A 19,102-nucleotide genomic window follows, 5' to 3' on the forward strand; every position below is an offset into this window, starting at 1 on the left:
CCGGGCGTGGTGGCTCACGCCTGTAATCCCAGCACTTTGGGAGGCCAAGGTGGGCGGATCACCTGAGGTTGGGAGTTCAAGACCAGCCTGACCAACATGGAGAAACCCTGTCTGTACTAGAAATGCAAGATTGGCTGGGCATGGTGGCACACGCCTGTAATCCCAGCTACTCAGGAGGCTGAGGCAGGAGAATCGCTTGAACCCGGGAGGCGGAGGTTGCTGTGAGCTGAGATCATGGCGTTGCACTCCAACCTGGGCAGCAAGAACAAAACTCCATCTCAAAAAAAAAAAAAAAGGGAACAAGAAAGTACCTCATCACAACTTTGCGGATTAATTGAGATAATGCGTTGGAAACATTTAGTATAGTACCGCGCATACAGTTGGTTCTCAATAACTGTTAGCTCTTAATTCCAGTTGCTAATAGAGAGCTGGGACAAGGAGGTATAAATGCAGCGGCTATGTTAGAAGCATCTTATAGCATGGCTCATTGAGAAAAGGTGAAGTAGTATATGGAAAAAAAGGAGTCTGGCCCTTCATCCCTGCCAGAATCTTTATGACCTCAGATGAATATAGGAGTATCGTAAAATGATTTGGAGCTACCAGGTAAGATGTTGTGGCCTACTGATAAATAACTGTCTACAGGTTGAGGCGTGTGTTACATAGGGTAGAAATTTTTGTGGTTTTTTTTTTTTTAAACAGAGTTTTGGTGTGTCGCCAGGCTGGAGTGCAGTGGCACCATCTCGGCTCACTGCAACCTCCACCTCCCAGGTTCAAGTGATTCTCCTGCCTCAGCTACTCAGCCTCCCAAGTAGCTGGGACTACAGGTGCATGCCACCACGCCCAGCTAATTTTTGTATTTTTAGTAGAAACAGGGTTTCACCCTGTTGGCCAGGATGGTCTTGATCTCTTGACCTCATGATCCATCTGCCTTGGCCTCCCAAAGTGCTGGGATTACAGACGTTAGCCACTGCGCCCGGCCTAGGGTAGAAAATTTTAAGTAACCTTCTAGGCGAGGAAGTGGCAGAAGTCTTCCTTTGTAAATTCTAGTCCAAGTTCTAAAGAAAGTTGTCATGATACTGTCTTTGTTTTAAGCTCAAATGAGAAATTGTATGAGAAACATAATGTCAAGTATCAAATCTGTACAAAGCATTGTCTTTTAAAGCAATGGCAAGCCAAAGCCTACTTCCCACCATATCAGACATCTCCTCCTTGCCCTGTTTGCTACATGTATCTTCTTCCCTCCTCCCACTTGCATGCTCTGTTAGTTAAGGTTTCATGCCTTTTGCTTCATAGTTCTTTTTCTTCATTTATGGATATCCCCTCTTCTTCCCAATTAAACCCAAAAGGATAAAATATAGCCATTTTTTTGAGTAATACCTTTACACTATTTGTTTCAGCTATGCCACCAGAAGCTATAGATTGTAAAGTATTAATTAGCTCTCTTTCTAGAGATTTTACACAGCGCAAAAGGAAGGGAGAGTGGAGTGACCTATGTCAGATCATCAGTAGCAGTGACAGTAGCAGCTGTGGTTTGGCACATAAGACCATACTCCACACCCCATCATCTTTCTTCCACAATGGAAGCAGAGGCAGCTGGGGAAGAAGATACATTGTGCAGTCTGAGATGGCAGCAAGAGTTAAAGATGGGAGTGTGATGGTAGGGTGACCGTTGAAGCTACTGGTACTTTTTAGATTGGTGGAATTTATGATACTAGGGAGATTTGCTGCTCCAGTTCCTGTTTTAGTAGGCTAAGATGTACGTCTGTTTTATCAGCAATTTGTACAGCACTTTAGCTATGCAATACTAAATTAAGCTATACAGTGTTACACTAACTGCCCTCTTTCCTCATATTCCATAGAAATCTTAAGTGTTTTGTTTTTGCTTCCTTTAACATGACTCTGCGTTTTCATTTTCTTCTCTTACGATGTGGCCAGAATTTCTACTTAATAATTCTTATATCTTAGGGTATTGACCTTTACGTATAATGAAGAAACCCAATAGGTCTCCCTGATTTAACATAATTGGATGATAATTTAGCAGAAAAATTACAAATAGCCTTAAAGCCATTGTGAAACATCTCATTCGTAACTCCTCAAGTATGCTAATTACAGAGGCAGCTGTAAAATTCACCCAGAGCAAAAAGGAATCCAGTGTGCTGACTGACAGCTTCATCCTGCGAGATCCTGATGGCATACCTGCTTATTCTAGTCGTTTCTTTCAAGGGGGCATGACATGTAGTGAAGGAATAAGGGGAACTTAAGAGTGGAATTGTGATTTTTTTTTTTAAATAGGGCAATGGAGGAAAGTGAGGCTGGAATTTAGCTCTTGGGTAAATTTGATGAAATTAAGCCTTGCCTTCCTACTGCTTTCTGTTCCTATATTCTTGTTTCTTGCCAATGAAGAGAAGCTGTTCTAGTATCTTTGTGATCCTTTGAGCCGGAAGGAGGTTCTAAGTTAGGAGAAAGTACTAACTTATTTAAAAAAAATAGAACAAACAAAAAAACTCCCTCAAACGTCTAGCCATGGACTCATAGGGTCTTATGAATCATCAAAGAGACTGTTGGCAGTATCCCCTTTATTAGCAAGCTGTCTGTAGTCTGCAACTTCTTGGCAAAGCAACTTTTATATGTTTATAAGTTAAATGGCTAAATTTGTTTTAGAAATATTAAGAGTGACTTCAGGGAGCCTTCTGTTTAGTGGCATGAAGCAAACAAATCTCTTTTGTCTTTTTTCTTTTGACACTGTCCTGCCTGCCTTATCCTGAACTGCATAACTCACTAAGATATTACCTGTTTTCCATTAGCCATTCTTTTAGTCCCCAACCCAGAGTTAAGTCTGTCAGAATATCATTGAGATCAGTTAACCATAAGTTTAGCTGCCTTTGCAAGGCATGTCTGTTGCTATTAAAAGCAGCAGGCACCTCATGAGAATGCTGCCCAGTCATTCCCAGAGTGTGATATGCTAATTCTTAAGAATGTTGCTAACACTGCACTATGTTTCATATGATTCAATTTAGAACTTTTTATTCAATTGGTTGGAGGCTTCAAGTTGACAGTAATAATAGTCTTTCAAGTTGTTGACTAAGTAGAGCAGTGATAGAATTCATATGACATAGAATTCATATGACAGGCCATAGTTGCTCATTCAAGTCCAAGAAGAGATCTCTACAGGCCACAGTGGCTGAAAAACAACAGGAAAGTAGCCTAGATGTTCACTTTTTAATAGTATAACATATCTTTCCTCCCTATTTTAAGTGAAAACAGATCTCTGTCATTAAATGAGGATATAAATATTTATGTCATCATTGTTGAAATCCCAAAGAATAGACCTTACACATTTCTGTGTTCATTTTAAATGGCCGTCTTTTGTGTCCAAGTTAAATTTAAAAAGCTCCCTCATCCCTCTAAAGGTCTCACCATAGCTAGTTAGCTTTCAGCCTTGATCTCCTTTTACTCTTGCCTCCTCTAAAAACTTTTTGATAGTTCTCTAAGAACCTAATCGGAGTCATACTTGGCAATACACTGTTAAAGAAAATGTGTATCCTAGAAGTCCAGATAGTCTTTGTAGATATAAATTAAACATACAAATCCCTTGCTGTAATATGAGCAGAAAGTGTTACTGTTTTAGACAAGTAGCTGCTATTCTGTGTTTCAGTACAGAACAGGGTTTTGGTCAAATCAAGGTAGTGATGACAGAATGTCAGAACTTCACGGTAGCTAGGAGTCCCTACTCTTCATTGTAGTCATTTATTGAATATTTTGAAAAGGTAAAAACTGCTCATTGTTTTATTGTCTGTGGTAAACAGCATGAATTAGATATACTTTGGGCATAAAGTGCTCACTGAAATGGGGTCCTTTCATATATTTTTCAGATAATATGATATTTTGGCAAATAATCTCTTCCTAGATCAAACTATAGCTGGCTTATTGAGAATTGTTCAGCAGAATCGTCCCCAAAATAAAGAACTAACATTTTCTGAGAATTACTTTGTGTCAGCCATTGTGCTAAGCTTTCTACATGTAACATTTTATTTCATCCTTAAAATAACTTAATGAGTAAGATACTATTATCAGTCCCATTTTATAGATGAGTATGGTGCTAATATTAATGCCATTTTCCAGATGAAGAAACTGGGATGAAGTTAAATATAACTTCTTCAAGGTCACACAACTGGTAAGTGATAGAGGATTTGGACACCAGTTTTTGTGATTCCAAAGCCCATACTCTCAGCCACTACATGCTACAGTCAAAGACTGCATGCATAGGCATTTGCCTTAGTATATTTTGCTTGATGTGCCTCTCTGCTCCAGCCTCCAGCAAGACTATGGGTTTCAGCGATCTCCCCTTTGCTAAGGGCAGATAAGAGTGTTACCTGTCCTTAGTAAAGAGAATGAATGACCTTATAAAACAGGATTATTAACCAGAGGAGTGTCAGTCCGTTTGGGCTGCTATAACAAAATACTATAAACTGGGTGGCCTATAAACAACAGCAATTTATTTCTTGCAGTTCTAAAGACTGTTGGCACCAACAGATTCAGTGTCTGATGAGGGCCTGCTTCCTTATGGGTGATACTTTTTTGCTGTATCCTCACATGGTAGAAGGGGCAAACAAGTTCTCTGGGGTCTCCTTTAAAAAGTTATTAATCCCATTCATGAGGGTTTTGCCTGCTCTTATGACTTAATTACCTCACAGAGACCTCCTAATACCATCACCTTGGGAAGTAGGGATTTCAGCATATGAATTTGGGGGGAAAATAAAAATTCAGACCATAGCATGGAGACAGACTTGAAAATGTTCCTGAAATAATCAGTAATAACCATATTAATTCATGTTGAACGGGGCTAGTTTGTACTGATTCTTTATAAATGTATAGTGCTAACTTATGTGTGATTTTTACATATGAAACGTTTTCTTGCTGGAAGGTTGGTATGGTGTATTCTTTTAGAGCCTTAAAGTCTTGATGGAATGGCAGGGCTCTCTTGATTAAACTGGCCATACTTAAATTATTTTTTAAAAAATATAGATTCCAAAATGGCTGAACTAATTTACATTCCCACCAATGGTGTACAAGGGTTCCCTTTCCTGCACATCCTCGCCACCACTTATTATTGTCTTTTTGGTAATAGCTATTCTAACAGGTGTGAGGTGATAACTCATTGCAGTTTTAATTTGCATTTCTCTCATGATTAAAGAGCATTTTTTTCCATCTATCTGTTGACCGTTAGTATCTCTTCTTTTGAGAAATATCTGTTCAGATCCTTTGCCCATTTTTAAATTGGATTATTTGCTTTCTTGCTATTGTTGTTTGAGTTGCTTATTATTATAGATATTAGCCCTTTGTTGGGTGTATGGCTTGCAATTTTTTTTTCCAATTCATGGATTATCTCTTCACTCTCGTTTTCTTTGCTGTACAGAACGTTTTATTTTGATTCAGTTCCATTTGTCTATTTTTGCTTTTGCTGCCTGTGCTTTTAGAGTTCTTTCCAAGAAATTGTTGCCCACACCACTGTCATGAAGCTTTTCCCGTTTTCTTCCTATAGTTGTATAGTTTCAGATCTTAAAGTCTTATAACCATTTTGAGTTGATTTTTATATATAGTATAAAAGTTCAGTTTCATTCCTCTGCATATCCAGTTTTCCCAATACTGTTTATTGAAGAGATGAGCCTTTTTGCATTGTGTGTTGGCACCTTTGTCAAAACTCAATTGACCATAAATACTTGGGTTTATTTCTGGGCTTTCAGTTCTGTTCCATTGGTCGATATGTCTGTTTTTATGCCAGTACCATCCTGTTTTGATTACAGTAGCTTTATATTTTCAAATCAAGTGGGTCTGGTGCCTCCAGCTTTGTTCTTTTTGCTCAAGATTGCCTTGACTATTTGGGTTTTTTAGTGAATTCATACATATGTTAGGATTGTTTTTTCTATTTCTGTGAAAAATGACATTGGAATTTTGATAGGGATTGTATTGAATCTGTAGATTGCTTTGGATAGTGATACGGTTATGCTTTACATCCCCACCCAAATCTCATCTTGAATTGTAATTCCCATAATCCCCACATGTCAAGAGACCTGGTGGATGTAATTGAATCATGGGGGTGGTTTCCCCCATGCTGTTCTAATGATAGTGAGTTATCACAAGACCTGATGGTTTTATCAGGGGCTCTTCCCTCTTCACTTGGCACTTCTCCTTCCTGCTACCTTGTGTAGAAGGTGCCTTACTTTCCCTTCGCCTTCTTCCAGGATTATAGGTTTCCTGACGCCTCCCCAGCCATGCTGAACTGTGAGTCAATTAAACCTTTTTTCTTTATAAATTACCGAATCTCAGGCAGTTCTTTATAGCAGTATGAAAATGGACTAATACAGATAATGTGGACATTTTAATAATATTAGTTCTTCCAATCCATGAACATGGTACATCTTTTTTTACTTATTTGTCTTTTTAATATCTTTTGTCAATATTTTATAAGTTTTCAGTGTATGGATTTTCACCTCCTTGGTTAAATTTCCTCCTGTTTTATTTTTTGATGCTATTGTAAATGGGATTGTTTCCTTAATTTCCTTTTGGAATAGTTTGTTGTTAGTGTAGGGAAACACTATTGATTTTTGTATATTGATTTTGTAACGTGCAACTTTACTGAATTTGTTCATTAGTTCTGACAGTTAAATAAGCCAGTCACAGAAAGACAAACACTGTATAATCTCACATGTGATATCTAAAAACGTTGATCTCATAGGAAGAGTAGAAAGGTGATAATCAGTGCCTGCTGCGGTCGGGGGATGGTGTGGGAGGGGATGGGGAAAGGAGAGATGTTGATGAAAGGGTACAAAGTTTCAGTTAAACTGTAGGAATAAGTTTTAGTGGTCTGTGGTACTGCATGGTGACCACAGTTAATAATAATGTATATTTCAAAATTGCTAAAAGAATTTATTTCTAATGTTCTGATTACAAAAGAAGGATACGTTGGTGAAATAATGGGTATGTTAATTAGCTTGATGTAATCTTTCTACAACGTATATAAATATCAAAACACCACATTGAACCCCATAAAAATACATATACAATTATTAATTTTCAATTCAAAATAAATTAAAACAAAACAAATATGTAGGTTTCATAAAGTAGGATGTAGTATAAGTAATGAGTAAACACTAGGGTCTGATCTTGGCCGTTTTATTAACAATATTACCTTTGAGAATTTCTTTTAATCTCTCTTAGTCTATTTCCTCTGTAAAATGAAAGTTTGAATAAACCTTTGTTTCCCAAACTCTGAAAGATTACTAGAGATGATTTTAGGTGGCATATGAGATTACTTTAGGCAGTGCCTTGATAAAACATTAAAATAAACATTGAATCACATAGTAAGAAAGTTACTCCTTTTTCAATCTTTCTGATTACATCAAAAAGAAAGTCTCAGTTTGGTATTAAGATATCTTTAATAGTTCTCTAACACTGGATAATTGTTTGGTTGTGGGGGTAGGGTAGGGGTGAGAGTGAACAGGTACTGTGAATTTTATACTCCTCAAGAGTTTCCACATGAGAGTCACACAGAACAATGAAAGTAAGAAGAAAAAAAGTTTCTACAGAAGCGAAATTAATTCCCTTAGAATGAAAAAGTACAGAAATGCTTTTTTGCTCTTTCTGTTGACCTCATTTCCCTTGCACTTGGAACAAAATCAATGTGTTATCCAACTGGCACGTTTGGCAGGAGGAACCAAACGTGTGAGGCACAGCCGTTTCTGACTTCTCTCATGGTGTGGCCCATACTCAAGGCACTTCTCTTCTACCATGTAATAGGCTTTGGTTGACAAACTTTGCTTAGGACAGGATGGCAACTGTGAGAAAGTCCACGAAGCCATAAATCCAAACCACAAAATCACATTCTGCAATTCATCGACATTGGTTATCAAGCTGATATTTTGATTGTCATTTTATTTCTCTCTCTTTTTCAGTTGGTTTCAAACTCTTAGGAAATGTAAGAGGAAAAGCAGTTATTACCCTTTAAAACCTCACTAATAATCTCCCTTTTTAACCGAACTTCAGCTTAGAGTTTTCCATAAGCAATGGTATTCATATAGAATTTAATAACATGTTTTTTTCAGTGAATTTATATTTATGGTTAACATCTATAAAAGAAACTCATTTAAGTTTTAAAAGATGAATTGGCTTTTAAAATATTAAATAATACATATGGTACATGGATATAAAAATCATAAAGATGGTACACAAATGACTAAAATTTAGAAAATACTGAACAAGATTATTTGTGAGATTTCTTTTAGATTAAAATTCTTTTGCATGTATATTTGAATAGAATATATAATGTTATATGGTAAATCAAGTAAAAGAAGGGCTTTCTAACATAGCATGTACTATGTTATTTTCTTTCATTTTGAAATATGTTGTTATTGAGGAAATTAAGCTTTTGTTCTATGCCAATTTTCTTCTATAAGTGTAAATATCTTTTAGTAGTTTACTAGACAGTAGCGTGTATCTTTTTGATAGCATATTTGTTGGTGATGATTTTTTTTTAATCTATTTTTCTTTCATTGAATGCAGTCTAGTCTGGATGAGGGTTTTGAACTGGAAATCTTGAGTAGTTATTATTTAGAGGTGAAGAATCATGTCATCACTGTATACCCTTTCTAGCACAGTGTTCACGTAGTAGTTGTTTTAGCTCGTTTTGCATTGCTATAAAGTAATACTCAAGGCTGAGTAATTTATAACAAAAAAAGATTTATTTGGCTCATGGCTCTGCGGGCTGTGTAAGAAGTATGGTGCCAGCATCTGCCTCTGGTGAGGGCTTCAGAAAGCTTGCACTCATGGCAGATGGTGAAGGGACATGGCAAGAGAGGAGGGAAGAGAGAGAGGGGTGAGGAAGATGCTGGGCTCTTTTTAACAATCAGTTCTGCTGAGAACTAGTAGAGCAGGAACTCACTCATTACCTCTAGAACAGTACCAAGTCTTTCATGAGGGATCTGCCCCTATAACCCAAACACCTCCCACCAGGACCAGGCCCCACCTCCAGCACTCCAACACTGGGAATCTAATTTCGACATGAGATTAGGAGGGGGCAAATGCCCAAACTGTAACAGTAATGATCACTAAATATTTAAACAAGTGAATGAATAAATGAATGAATAAAGAATAAAAAACTGAGTTCTCTGTCTTAAATATGTGGGCAGTTTTTATTTCTTTCTTAAAGCTGTTAATGGAGCAATCTGTAAGGAAACTGAGGCCTTGGGTTAATCAGAAGATAACACTTTCATATAAGTAAAATTTGGAGCTAGTTACACTGAACATTTAGAATAACCTTGCTAGGAAGAAGTTGTTAAAGGAAGGCAGCCCTACTAATTTTGCTTTTACTTACAGGAAGCTGAATTTATGGTCATATATGAGACTAGGGTTTTCCTTCCTTTCTCTCTTTTTTATAACAAAAAAATTCTCCTTCTTGCTCTTTCATTCTTCTTTTTCTTACATGCATGTACTATATTTCTGATCATCTTCACCTCAAGGAAAGCACCCCAGTTTTCCTTACATTAGGGGAGACTATTACAGCTTAATTTAAAATGCAGCTAATTATTTACTCTTATACTCTTAATTATAGTTTCTTGTCTGATAAAGGTGCCCACCTCTTAACTGGCACCCTAGATGAACTGCAGTACTGATGGTGAATTATTTTACTGCCATTTATTCAGGCAACAAATGTCATGTTTCAAAGATTTTGTTCTAAGAATCCTAAAAGGAGTTTTATATATCAGAGGGAGAGAATATGAAGAAGTTATTAGCCAAACTGACTTTCTAATAACCATGTAGTTGGCTTGATTGACTATATTATATTCCTAGATCATTTCATTTATTTTAAAACATTTTGCATATATACAGGAAAACAATTTGAAGACTGTGTTTTGTTCTGGTGAATACATTTTAAACATATTCTAGGTTTATTCTTTACAAGTACATTATTTCTTTAATGGTACAGTGATTTTTATTCTAATTCATTATAGTCAGAGACATCTTAACTGGAGTTATTTTGTATGTTCAGGTTAATATTTTTTGTTATCAAAAATTTAACTTAGTACATTTTATGGTAGTGAAATATTTCTGGTATCTTTGGGTCTCGTAGTTACTACTATGTGGTCGTGAATATGTAAAATAAACTCGGTGCTGGCTATCACATTTTGGATTATACTTATCATTGGATTATAAAGGTGATAGAACATCAGTAACATTCATGATTTATGGAAATTTAATTCTGAAAGTAATCATAATCTGTAAAAATTAGCATCTAGTCTCTGAACTTTAGAGTTCAAGGTAAAAAGCAATACACATTCTATTATCATATTTGAAAATACAGTTTTTTTGTTGTGATGGTGGTGGTGGTAGTTGCGTTTTTGAGACGAAGTTTCGCTCTATTGCCCAGTCTGGAGTGCAAATGGCATGATGTCGGCTCACTGCAACCTCTGCCTCCTGGGTTCAAGCGATTCTCCTGCCTCAGCCTCCTGAGTAGCTGGGATTACAGGCATGTGCCACCACACCCGGCTAATTTTTGTATTTTTAGTAGAGATGGAGTTTCTCCATGTTGGTCAGGCTGATCTCAAACTTCTGACCTCAGGTGATCCTCCTGCCTCAGTCTCCCAAAGTGCTGGGATTACAGGCGCGAGTCACTGCGCCTGGTGAAAATATAGTTTTTTCTTTTTAATTTTTGAAAAAATTCTGTGGGTACATAGTAGGTATATATATGAGGTAATGAGATATTTTGATACAGGCATACAATGCATAATAATCACATCAGGGTAAATGGGGTATCCATCACCTCAAGCATTTATCCTTTATGTTACAAACAATCCAATTATATGTTTTTACTTATTTTAAAATGTACAGTTAAATTATCATTGACTGTAGTCACCCTGCTGTGCTGTGAAATACTAGGTCTTATTTTTTCGACTTTTTGTACCCATTAGCCATCCTCCCTTACCCCCCACCTCCCACTACCTTTTCCAGCCTCTGGTCACTGTCATTCTACACTCTATCTCCAAGATTTCAATTGTGTTAATTTTTAGCTCCCACAAATAAGTGAGAACATGCCAAGTTTGTCTTTCTGTGCCTGGCTTATTTTATTTAACACAGTGACCTCCAGTTCCATCCATGTTGTTGCAAATGACAGGGTCTCATTCTTTTTTATGGCTGAATAGTACTACATTGTGTATATTTACCATATTTTCTTTGTTTATTCATCTGGACACTTAGGTTGCTTTCAAATCTTGGCTATTGTGAACAGTGCTGCAGTAAACATGGGAGTTCAGGTATCTCTTTGATATACTGATTTCCTTTCTTTTGAGCATATACCCAGCAGTGGGATTGCTGGATCATATGGTAGCTCAATTTTTAGTTTTTTTGAGGAATGTCTAAACTGTTCTCTGTAGTGGTTGTACTAATTTACATTCCCACCAACAGTGTATGAGGGTTCCCTTTTCTGCACATACTTGCCAGCATTTGTTATTGCCTGAATTTTGACATTTTTTCTGGGGTTAAATGATACCTTGTTGTAGTTTTTGATGATCATTGATGCTGAGCACCTCTTCATATACCTGTTTCCCATTTGTACATCTTCTTTTGAGAAATGTCTAATCGGATCTTTTGCCCATTTTTGATTGGATTATTACTTTTATCCTGTAGAGTTGTTTGAGCTTCTTTTATATTCTCGTTATTTATCTCTTGTCACATGGGTAGTTTGCAAATATTTTCTCCCATTCTGCAGGTTGTCTCTTCATTTTGTTTATTGTTTTCTTTGCTGTGCAGACTTGAGTCGGTCCCATTTGTCCATTTTTGCTTTGGTTGCCTGTGTTTATGTGGTATTACTCAAGAAATCTTTACCCACTCCAGTGTCCTGGAGAGCTTCCCCAATGTTTTCTCTTAGTAGTTTCATAGTTTGAGGTCTTAGATTTAAGTCTTTAATCCATTTTGATTTGATTTGTGTATATGGTGAGAGATAGGGGCCTAGTTTCATTCCTGAGCATATGGATATCCAGTTTTCCCAGCACCATTTATTGAAGAGAGTTTCCTTTCCTCAGTGTATATTCTTGGCACCTTTGTTGAAAATGAGTCAGTGTCAATGTATAGATTTGTTTCTGGGCTCTCAATTTTATTCCATTGGTCTATGTGTCTTTTTCTATGCTAGAGCCATGCTGTTTTGGTTACTATAGCTCCACGTTTTTATGCTAGTGCCATGCTGTTTTGGTTACTGTAGCTCCATAGTATAATTTGAAGTCAGATAATGTGATTCTTCTGGTTTTGTGCTTTCTGCTTAGGACAGCTTTGGTTATCCTGTGTCTTTTGTGGTTCCATATAAATTTTATTTATTTATTTATTTATTTATTTATTTATTTATTTATTTAGTAGCCACAGAGTCTCATTGTCTTTGCAAGGTTGGTCTCAAACCCTTGGCCTCAAGCCATCCTCCCGGTTTGGCCTTCCAAAGTGTTAGGATTATAGGCATAAGCCACCACATCCCCATTTAAGTTTTAGGATTTTTTTTTTCTATTTCTATGAAAAAGTCATTGGTATTTTCATAGGGATTGCATTGAATCTGTAGATTGCTTTGGATAGTATGGGCATTTTAACAATATTGATTCTTCCAATCTATGAACATGGAATACCTTTCCTTTTTTTGGTGTCCTCTTCCATTTCTTTCATCAGTGTTTTATAGTTTTCATTGTAGAGATCTTTCACATCTTTGGTTAAGTTAATTCCTAGGTATTTAACTTTATTTGTAACTATTGTAAATTGGATTATGTTTTGGATTTCTTTTTCAGGTTGTTCACTGTTGACATATAGAAATGCACTGATTTTTGTATGTTGATTTTGTGTCCTGCAACTTTACTGAATTTATCAGTTCTAAATTTTTTTTTGTAGAATCTTTAGGTTTTTACAAATGTAGTGTCATATCATGTGCAAACAACAAGAATTTGATTTCTTTCTTTCCATTTTGGACACCCTTTATTTCTTTCTGTTGTCTGATTGCTCTAGCTAGAACTTCCAGTACTGTGTTGAATAACAGTGGTGACAGAGAGCATCTTTGTTGTGTTCCAGATCTTAGAGAAGTGGTTTTCAGCTTTTCCCCACTCAGTAGGATATTAGCTGTGGATCTATGTATATGGCTTTTATTATGTTGAGATACGTTGCTTTTATACTCAGTTTTTTAAGGGTTTTTATCATGAAGAGATCTTGAATTTTATCACATGCTTTTTCTGCATCAATTGAAATGATCATGTGGCTTTTGTTCTTCATTCTGTTGATATGATATGTCTCATTGATTGATTTGCATATGCCCAACCATCCTTGCATCTCTGGGATAAATCCCATTTGGTCAAGAATGATTGTTTCAGTTTCATTTATTTCTGCTCTGATCTTTATTCTTCTCTTTTACTAATTTTGGGTTTGATTTGCTCTAGTTTTGTGGTTCTTTAAGATGCATCATTAGGTCATTTATTTGAAGTTTTTCTACTTTTTTGATGTAGACACTTACTGCTATAAACTTCTCTGTCAGTACTGCTTTCACTGTATCCCATAGGTTTTGGTATGTTGTGTTTCCATGATCGTTTGTTTCAAGAAATTTTTTTAATTTCCTTCTTAATTTCTTCATTGATCCATTGGTATTTAAGGAACATATTATTTAATTTCCATGTGTTTGTATAGTTTCTAAAATTTATCTTGTTACTGATTTCTTGTTTTATTTCATTGTGGTCTGAGAAGATACTTGAGGCTGAGTACAGTGGCACATACCTTGTGGTCCTAGCTACTCAGGAGGCTGAGGTGGGAGGATCACTTGAGCCTGGGAGGCAGAGTCTGCAGTGAGCTGAGGTCACACCACTGCACTCCAGCCTGGACAAGAGTGAGACCCTCTCTCAAAAAAAAAAAAAAACAACTTGATAGTATTTCAATTTCGTGAATGTTTTAAGACTTGTTTTGTGACCTAATTTATGGTCTGTCCTTGTAATACTATCCATGTGCTGAGGAGAAGAATGTGTATTCTGCAGCCATTGGATGAAATGTTCTATAAGTATTTATTAGGTCCATTTGGTTTCTGATGCAGATTAAGTCTGATGTTCCTTTGTTGATTTTCTGTCTGTCCAATTCTGAAAGTGAGGTGTTGAAATCTCCAGCTATTATTATATTGGGGTCTACCTCTCTCGTTAGCTGTAATATTTGCTTTATGTATCTGGGTGCTCCAGTGTTGAGTGCATATATATTTATAATTATTATATCTTCTTGATGAATTGATCCCTTTATCATTATATAGTGACCTTCTTTGTCCCTTTTTTTTTTTTTTGGAAAATAATGGAATTTATTCTAGACAGGATTTCTTTTTTTTTTTTTCCTGCCTTCAAGCATCTGTTTAACAAAGCACATCTTGCACCGCCCTTAATCCATTTAACCCTGAGTTGACACAGCACATGTTTCAGAGAGCACACGGTTGGGGGTAAGGTTATAGATTAACAGCATCCCAAGGCAGAAGAATTTTTCTTAGTACAGAACAAAATGGAGTCTCCTATGTCTACTTCTTTCTACACAGACACAGTAACAATCTGATTTCTCTTTCTTTTCCCCACATTTCCCCCTTTTCTTTTTGACAAAACCACCATCATCATCATGGCCTGTTCTCGATGGTCGCTGTCTCTTTGGAGCTGTTGGGTACACCTCCCAGATGGGGCAGCCAGGCAGAGGCACTCCTCACTTCCCAGACGGGGCGGCCGGGCAGAGGCGCTCCTCACTTCCCAGACGGGGCGGCCGGGCAGAGGCGCTCCTCACCTCCCAGACGGGGCGGCCGGGCAGAGGCGCTCCCCACTTCCCAGATGGGGCGGCCGGGCAGAGGCACTCCCCACTTCCCAGACGGGGCGGCCGGGCAGAGGTGCTCCACACTTCCCAGACGGGGTGGCCGGGCAGAGGCGCTCCACACTTCCCAGACGGGGTGGCCGGGCAGAGGTGCTCCCCACTTCCCAGATGGGGCGGCCGGGCAGAGGCGTTCCCCACTTCCCAGACGACGGGCAGCCGGGCAGAGGCGCTCCTCATTTCCCAGATGGGGCGGCCGGGCAGAGGCGCTTCTCACCTCCCAGACGGGGCGGCCGGGCAGAGGCGCTCCTCACCTCCCAGACGGGGCGGCCGGGCAGAGGCGCTCCTCACCTCCCAGACGGGGCGGCCGGGCAGAGGCGCTCCTCACTTCCCAGACGATGGGCGGCCGGGCAGAGGCACTCCTCACCTCCCAGACAGGGCAGCCGGGCAGAGACGCTCCTCACTTCCCAGACGGGGCGGCCAGGCAGAGACTCTCCTCACCTCCCAGATGGGGCAGCTGGGCAGAGGTGGCTCCTCACATCCCAGACAGGGCAGCTGGGCAGAGGCGCTCCTCACTTCCTAGACGGGGCGGCCGGGCAGAGGCGCTCCTCACCTCCCAGACGAAGGGCGGCCGGGCAGAGGCGCTCCTCACATCCCAGACGATGGGCGGCCGGGCAGAGACGCTCCTCACCTCCCAGACGGGGCGGCCGGGCAGAGGCGCTCCCCACTTCCCAGACGGGGCAGCCGGGCAGAGGCGCTCCCCATTTCCCAGACGGGGCGGCTGGGCAGAGATGCTCCTCACTTCCCAGACGGGGCAGCTGCCAGGCAGAGGCGCTCCTCACCTCTCAGACGGGGCGGCCTGGCAGAGGCACTCCTCAGTTCCCAGACGGGGCGGCCAGGCAGAGGCGCTCCTCACCTCCTTCTTTGTCCCTTTTTATAGTTTTTTTTTCTTGAAATCTATTTTGTCTATTACAGGTATAGCTACTCCTGCTCTTTTTTGGTTTTCATTGGCATGAAATATCTTTTTCCATCCCTTTATTTTTAGTCTGTGTGTCTTTATAGGTGAAGTATGTTTCTTGTAGGTAACAGATCATTGAATTTTGTGTTTCTTAGCTATTCAGCCACTCTATGTCTTTTGATTGGAGAATTCAGTTTGTTTACATTTAGTGTTATTAATAATAAGTAAGATCTTACTCCTGCCATTTTGTTATTTGTTTTCTGGTTATTTTGTGGTCTTCTCTTCCTTCTTTCCTTCCTTTCTATTTTCCTTTTAGTGAAGGTGATTTTCTCTGGTGGTTTGTTTTAATTTCTTGCTTTTTATTTTTTGTGTATTCATTGTATGTTTTTTGATTTGAGATTATCATGAGGCTTGCAAATAACTTATAGCTCGTTATTTTAAACTGATGACAATTTGGCACCGATTGCATAAACAAACATGCAATCAAAAAGAAGTCTAATAAATACTCTGTACTTTGTCCCCCCAACTTTTTAACTTTCTGTTATTTCTATTTATATCTTATGGTACCAAGTATGTCTTGAAAAGTTGTAGTTATTTTTGATCGGTTCATCTTTTAGTCTTTTACTTAAGATATCAATAGGTTACATACCACAATTACAGTGTTATAAAATTATGTGGTTTTTTGTATGCTTAGTATGACCAGTGAGGTACCTTCAGATCATTTTTTAATTGCCCATTAACACCTTTTTTCCTTCAAATTGAAGGATTCCCCTTAGCATTTCTTGTAGAACAGGTCTGATGTTGATGAAATCTCTCAGCTTTTGTTTGTCTGGGAAAGTCTTTATTTCTTCTTTAAGCTTGAAGGATGTTTTCACTGGATATACTATTCTAGGGTAAAAGTTTTTTTTCCCTCAGTAGTTTATGTCATACCACTCTCTTTTGGCCTGTAATGTTTCCACTGAAAAGTCTGCTGTCAGACATATTGGAGCTCCATGGTATGTTATTTATTTTTTCTTTTGCTGCTTTTAGGATCCTTTCTTTATCCTTGACCTTTGGAAGTTTGGTTATTAAATGCCTTGAATGGTAGTCTTCTTTGGGTTAAATCTGGTTGATGTATAACTTTCTTGTACTTGAATATTGATATCTTTGTCTAGAATTCGGATGTTCTCTGTTTCATCCCTTTGAATAAACGTTCTGTTCCTATCTCTCTCTGCCTCCTTCTTAAGGCCAATAACTGTTAGATTTGCCCTTTTGAAACTATTATTTAGATCTTATAGGCATGCTTCATTGTTTTTCATTCTTTTTTCTTTTGTCTCTGTTGACAGTGTATTTTCAAATAGCCTGTCTTTAAGCTTACCAATTCTTTCTTCTGCTTGATGACTTCTATTAAGAGACTCAGTATGTCAGCTGCATTTTTCAACCCCAGAATTTCTGCTTGATTCCTTTTAATTGTTTCAACCTCTTTGTTAACTTTATCTGATAGGATTCTGAATTCCTTCTTTGTGTTATCTTGAACTTCTTTGCATTTCCTCAAAATAGCTCTTTTGAATTCCCTCTCTGAAAGGTCACATATCTATGTTTCTTCAGGATTTGGTCCCTGGTGCCTTATTTAGTTTGTTTTTCAAGGCCATGTTTTCCTGGATGGTCTTGATGCTTGTGGGTGTTCATTGGTGTCTGGGCATTGAAGGTATTTATCGTAGTCTTCACAATCTGAACTCTTTTGTACCTGTCTTAGAAAGGCTTTCCAGATATTTGAAGGGAGTTGGCTGTTGTGATCCAGTTTTGGTCATTGCAGCCATATCTACATTAGGGGGCACCCCAAGCCCGATAATGCTGTGGTTCTTACAGACTTGCAGAGGTACTACCTTTGTGGTCTTAGATAAGGTCTAGAAGAATTCTCTGGATTACCAAGCAGAGACTCTTGTTCTCTTCCCTTACTTTGTCCCAAACAAACGAGTCTCTGATTCTGTGCTCCAAGCCTCTTGTAGTTGGGGGAGTGGTGACACAAGCACTTTTGTGGCTACCACCACTGGAACTACACTAGACCAGACCTGAAACCAGCATAGCACTGGATCTCACCCAAGGCCCAGTGTAACCCCTACCTGGCTACCTCCTGTGTTGGCTCAAAGTTCTAGGGCTCTATAATGAGCAGGTGGCAAAGCCAGTCAGGCTTTTATCCATCCCTTCAGGACAGCAAGCAAGTTCCCCTGGGCCCCAGGCAGGTCCAGAGATGCCATCTGGGAGCCAGCATCTGGAGTTGGAAACCTTAGAACCCTATCTGGTCCTCTATTCTCCTGCAGCTGAGCTGGCATCCAAACCATAAGGCAAAGTGCTTCCCACTTTTCACTCCTCTTTTCATAGGCAAAAGAGTCTCTCCCTATGGCCACCACCACTACAAGCCCACAGGGATTATTGCCAGGCTACGGTTCATGTTCACTTAAGGCCCAAGGGCTCTTCAGTCAGCTTGTGGTGAATGTTGCCAGGCCTGGGACTTGCCCTTCAGGGCACTGGGCTCCCTTCTGGCCCAGGCAGGTCCAGGAGTGCCATACAAGAGCCAAGGTCTGGAATCAGGAACCCCAAGAGCCCACTTGGTGCTCTGTTCCACTGTGGCTGAGCTGTTATCCAAGTTGCAAGATAAAGTCCTCTTTACTCTTCCCTCTCTACTGCTCAAGTGGAAGGAAGGAGTCTCTTTTGGAGCTGTGAACTGCACTGCCTTAGATTAGGGAAAGGGTGGCATAAGCACTGCCTTAGCCACCTCAGCTGGTGGCTCACTAGGTTACGTGCCCCCTAGGTCCAATGACTCTCGAACCCAGCACAGCACTAAAACTTGCCTAGAAATTACAGTTCTTGTGGCCTAGACTGCCTTTCAAGTTCATTTAGGGCCCCAGGACACTTCAGCCTATAGTGGTGCGGCTTGTTGAAACTCAGGCTCCAACCGCTGGGATGGACATTTCCCCTCTGGCTAGGGCACATCTAAGTTCTCCCTCCATGGGCATTGGCTGAGTTCTTTGCTAATGGCCCGGGTGTTGCTTGCCAGTTGGCCTGGTGTTGCTTTCTGCTGTGACATGGTAACACTGAGTTCCAGTGCAAAGTCCCACAATCACTGTGCTCCCCCTCCCCCAAGCACACAGATTCTTTGCACCACACGGCCACTGCATGGGGGTGGAAGGGGTAGTAGACAATCGAAAACTGTCTTTCCTACTCTCTTCAGTGTCTCTTTCAGCAATATGAAGTTAAAATCAGGTACTGTGATCACTTACCTGATTTTTGGTTCTTGTGAAGGTGCTTTTTTGTGTAGATAGTTGTTAAATT

At 39.3% G+C, this 19,102-nt stretch overlaps 1 protein-coding gene across 13 annotated transcripts in view; it reads left to right on the forward strand.

Annotated features, from left to right (window-relative positions):
- FUT8 (fucosyltransferase 8) overlaps positions 1–19,102 on the forward strand; it is a 387,280-nt gene that overhangs the window by 345,224 nt on the left and 22,954 nt on the right. The gene's annotated exons all lie outside the window — the stretch shown is intronic.

Source organism: Homo sapiens, chromosome 14 (assembly GCF_000001405.40).
Source record: "Homo sapiens chromosome 14, GRCh38.p14 Primary Assembly".
Taxonomy (NCBI): Eukaryota; Metazoa; Chordata; class Mammalia; order Primates; family Hominidae; genus Homo; species Homo sapiens.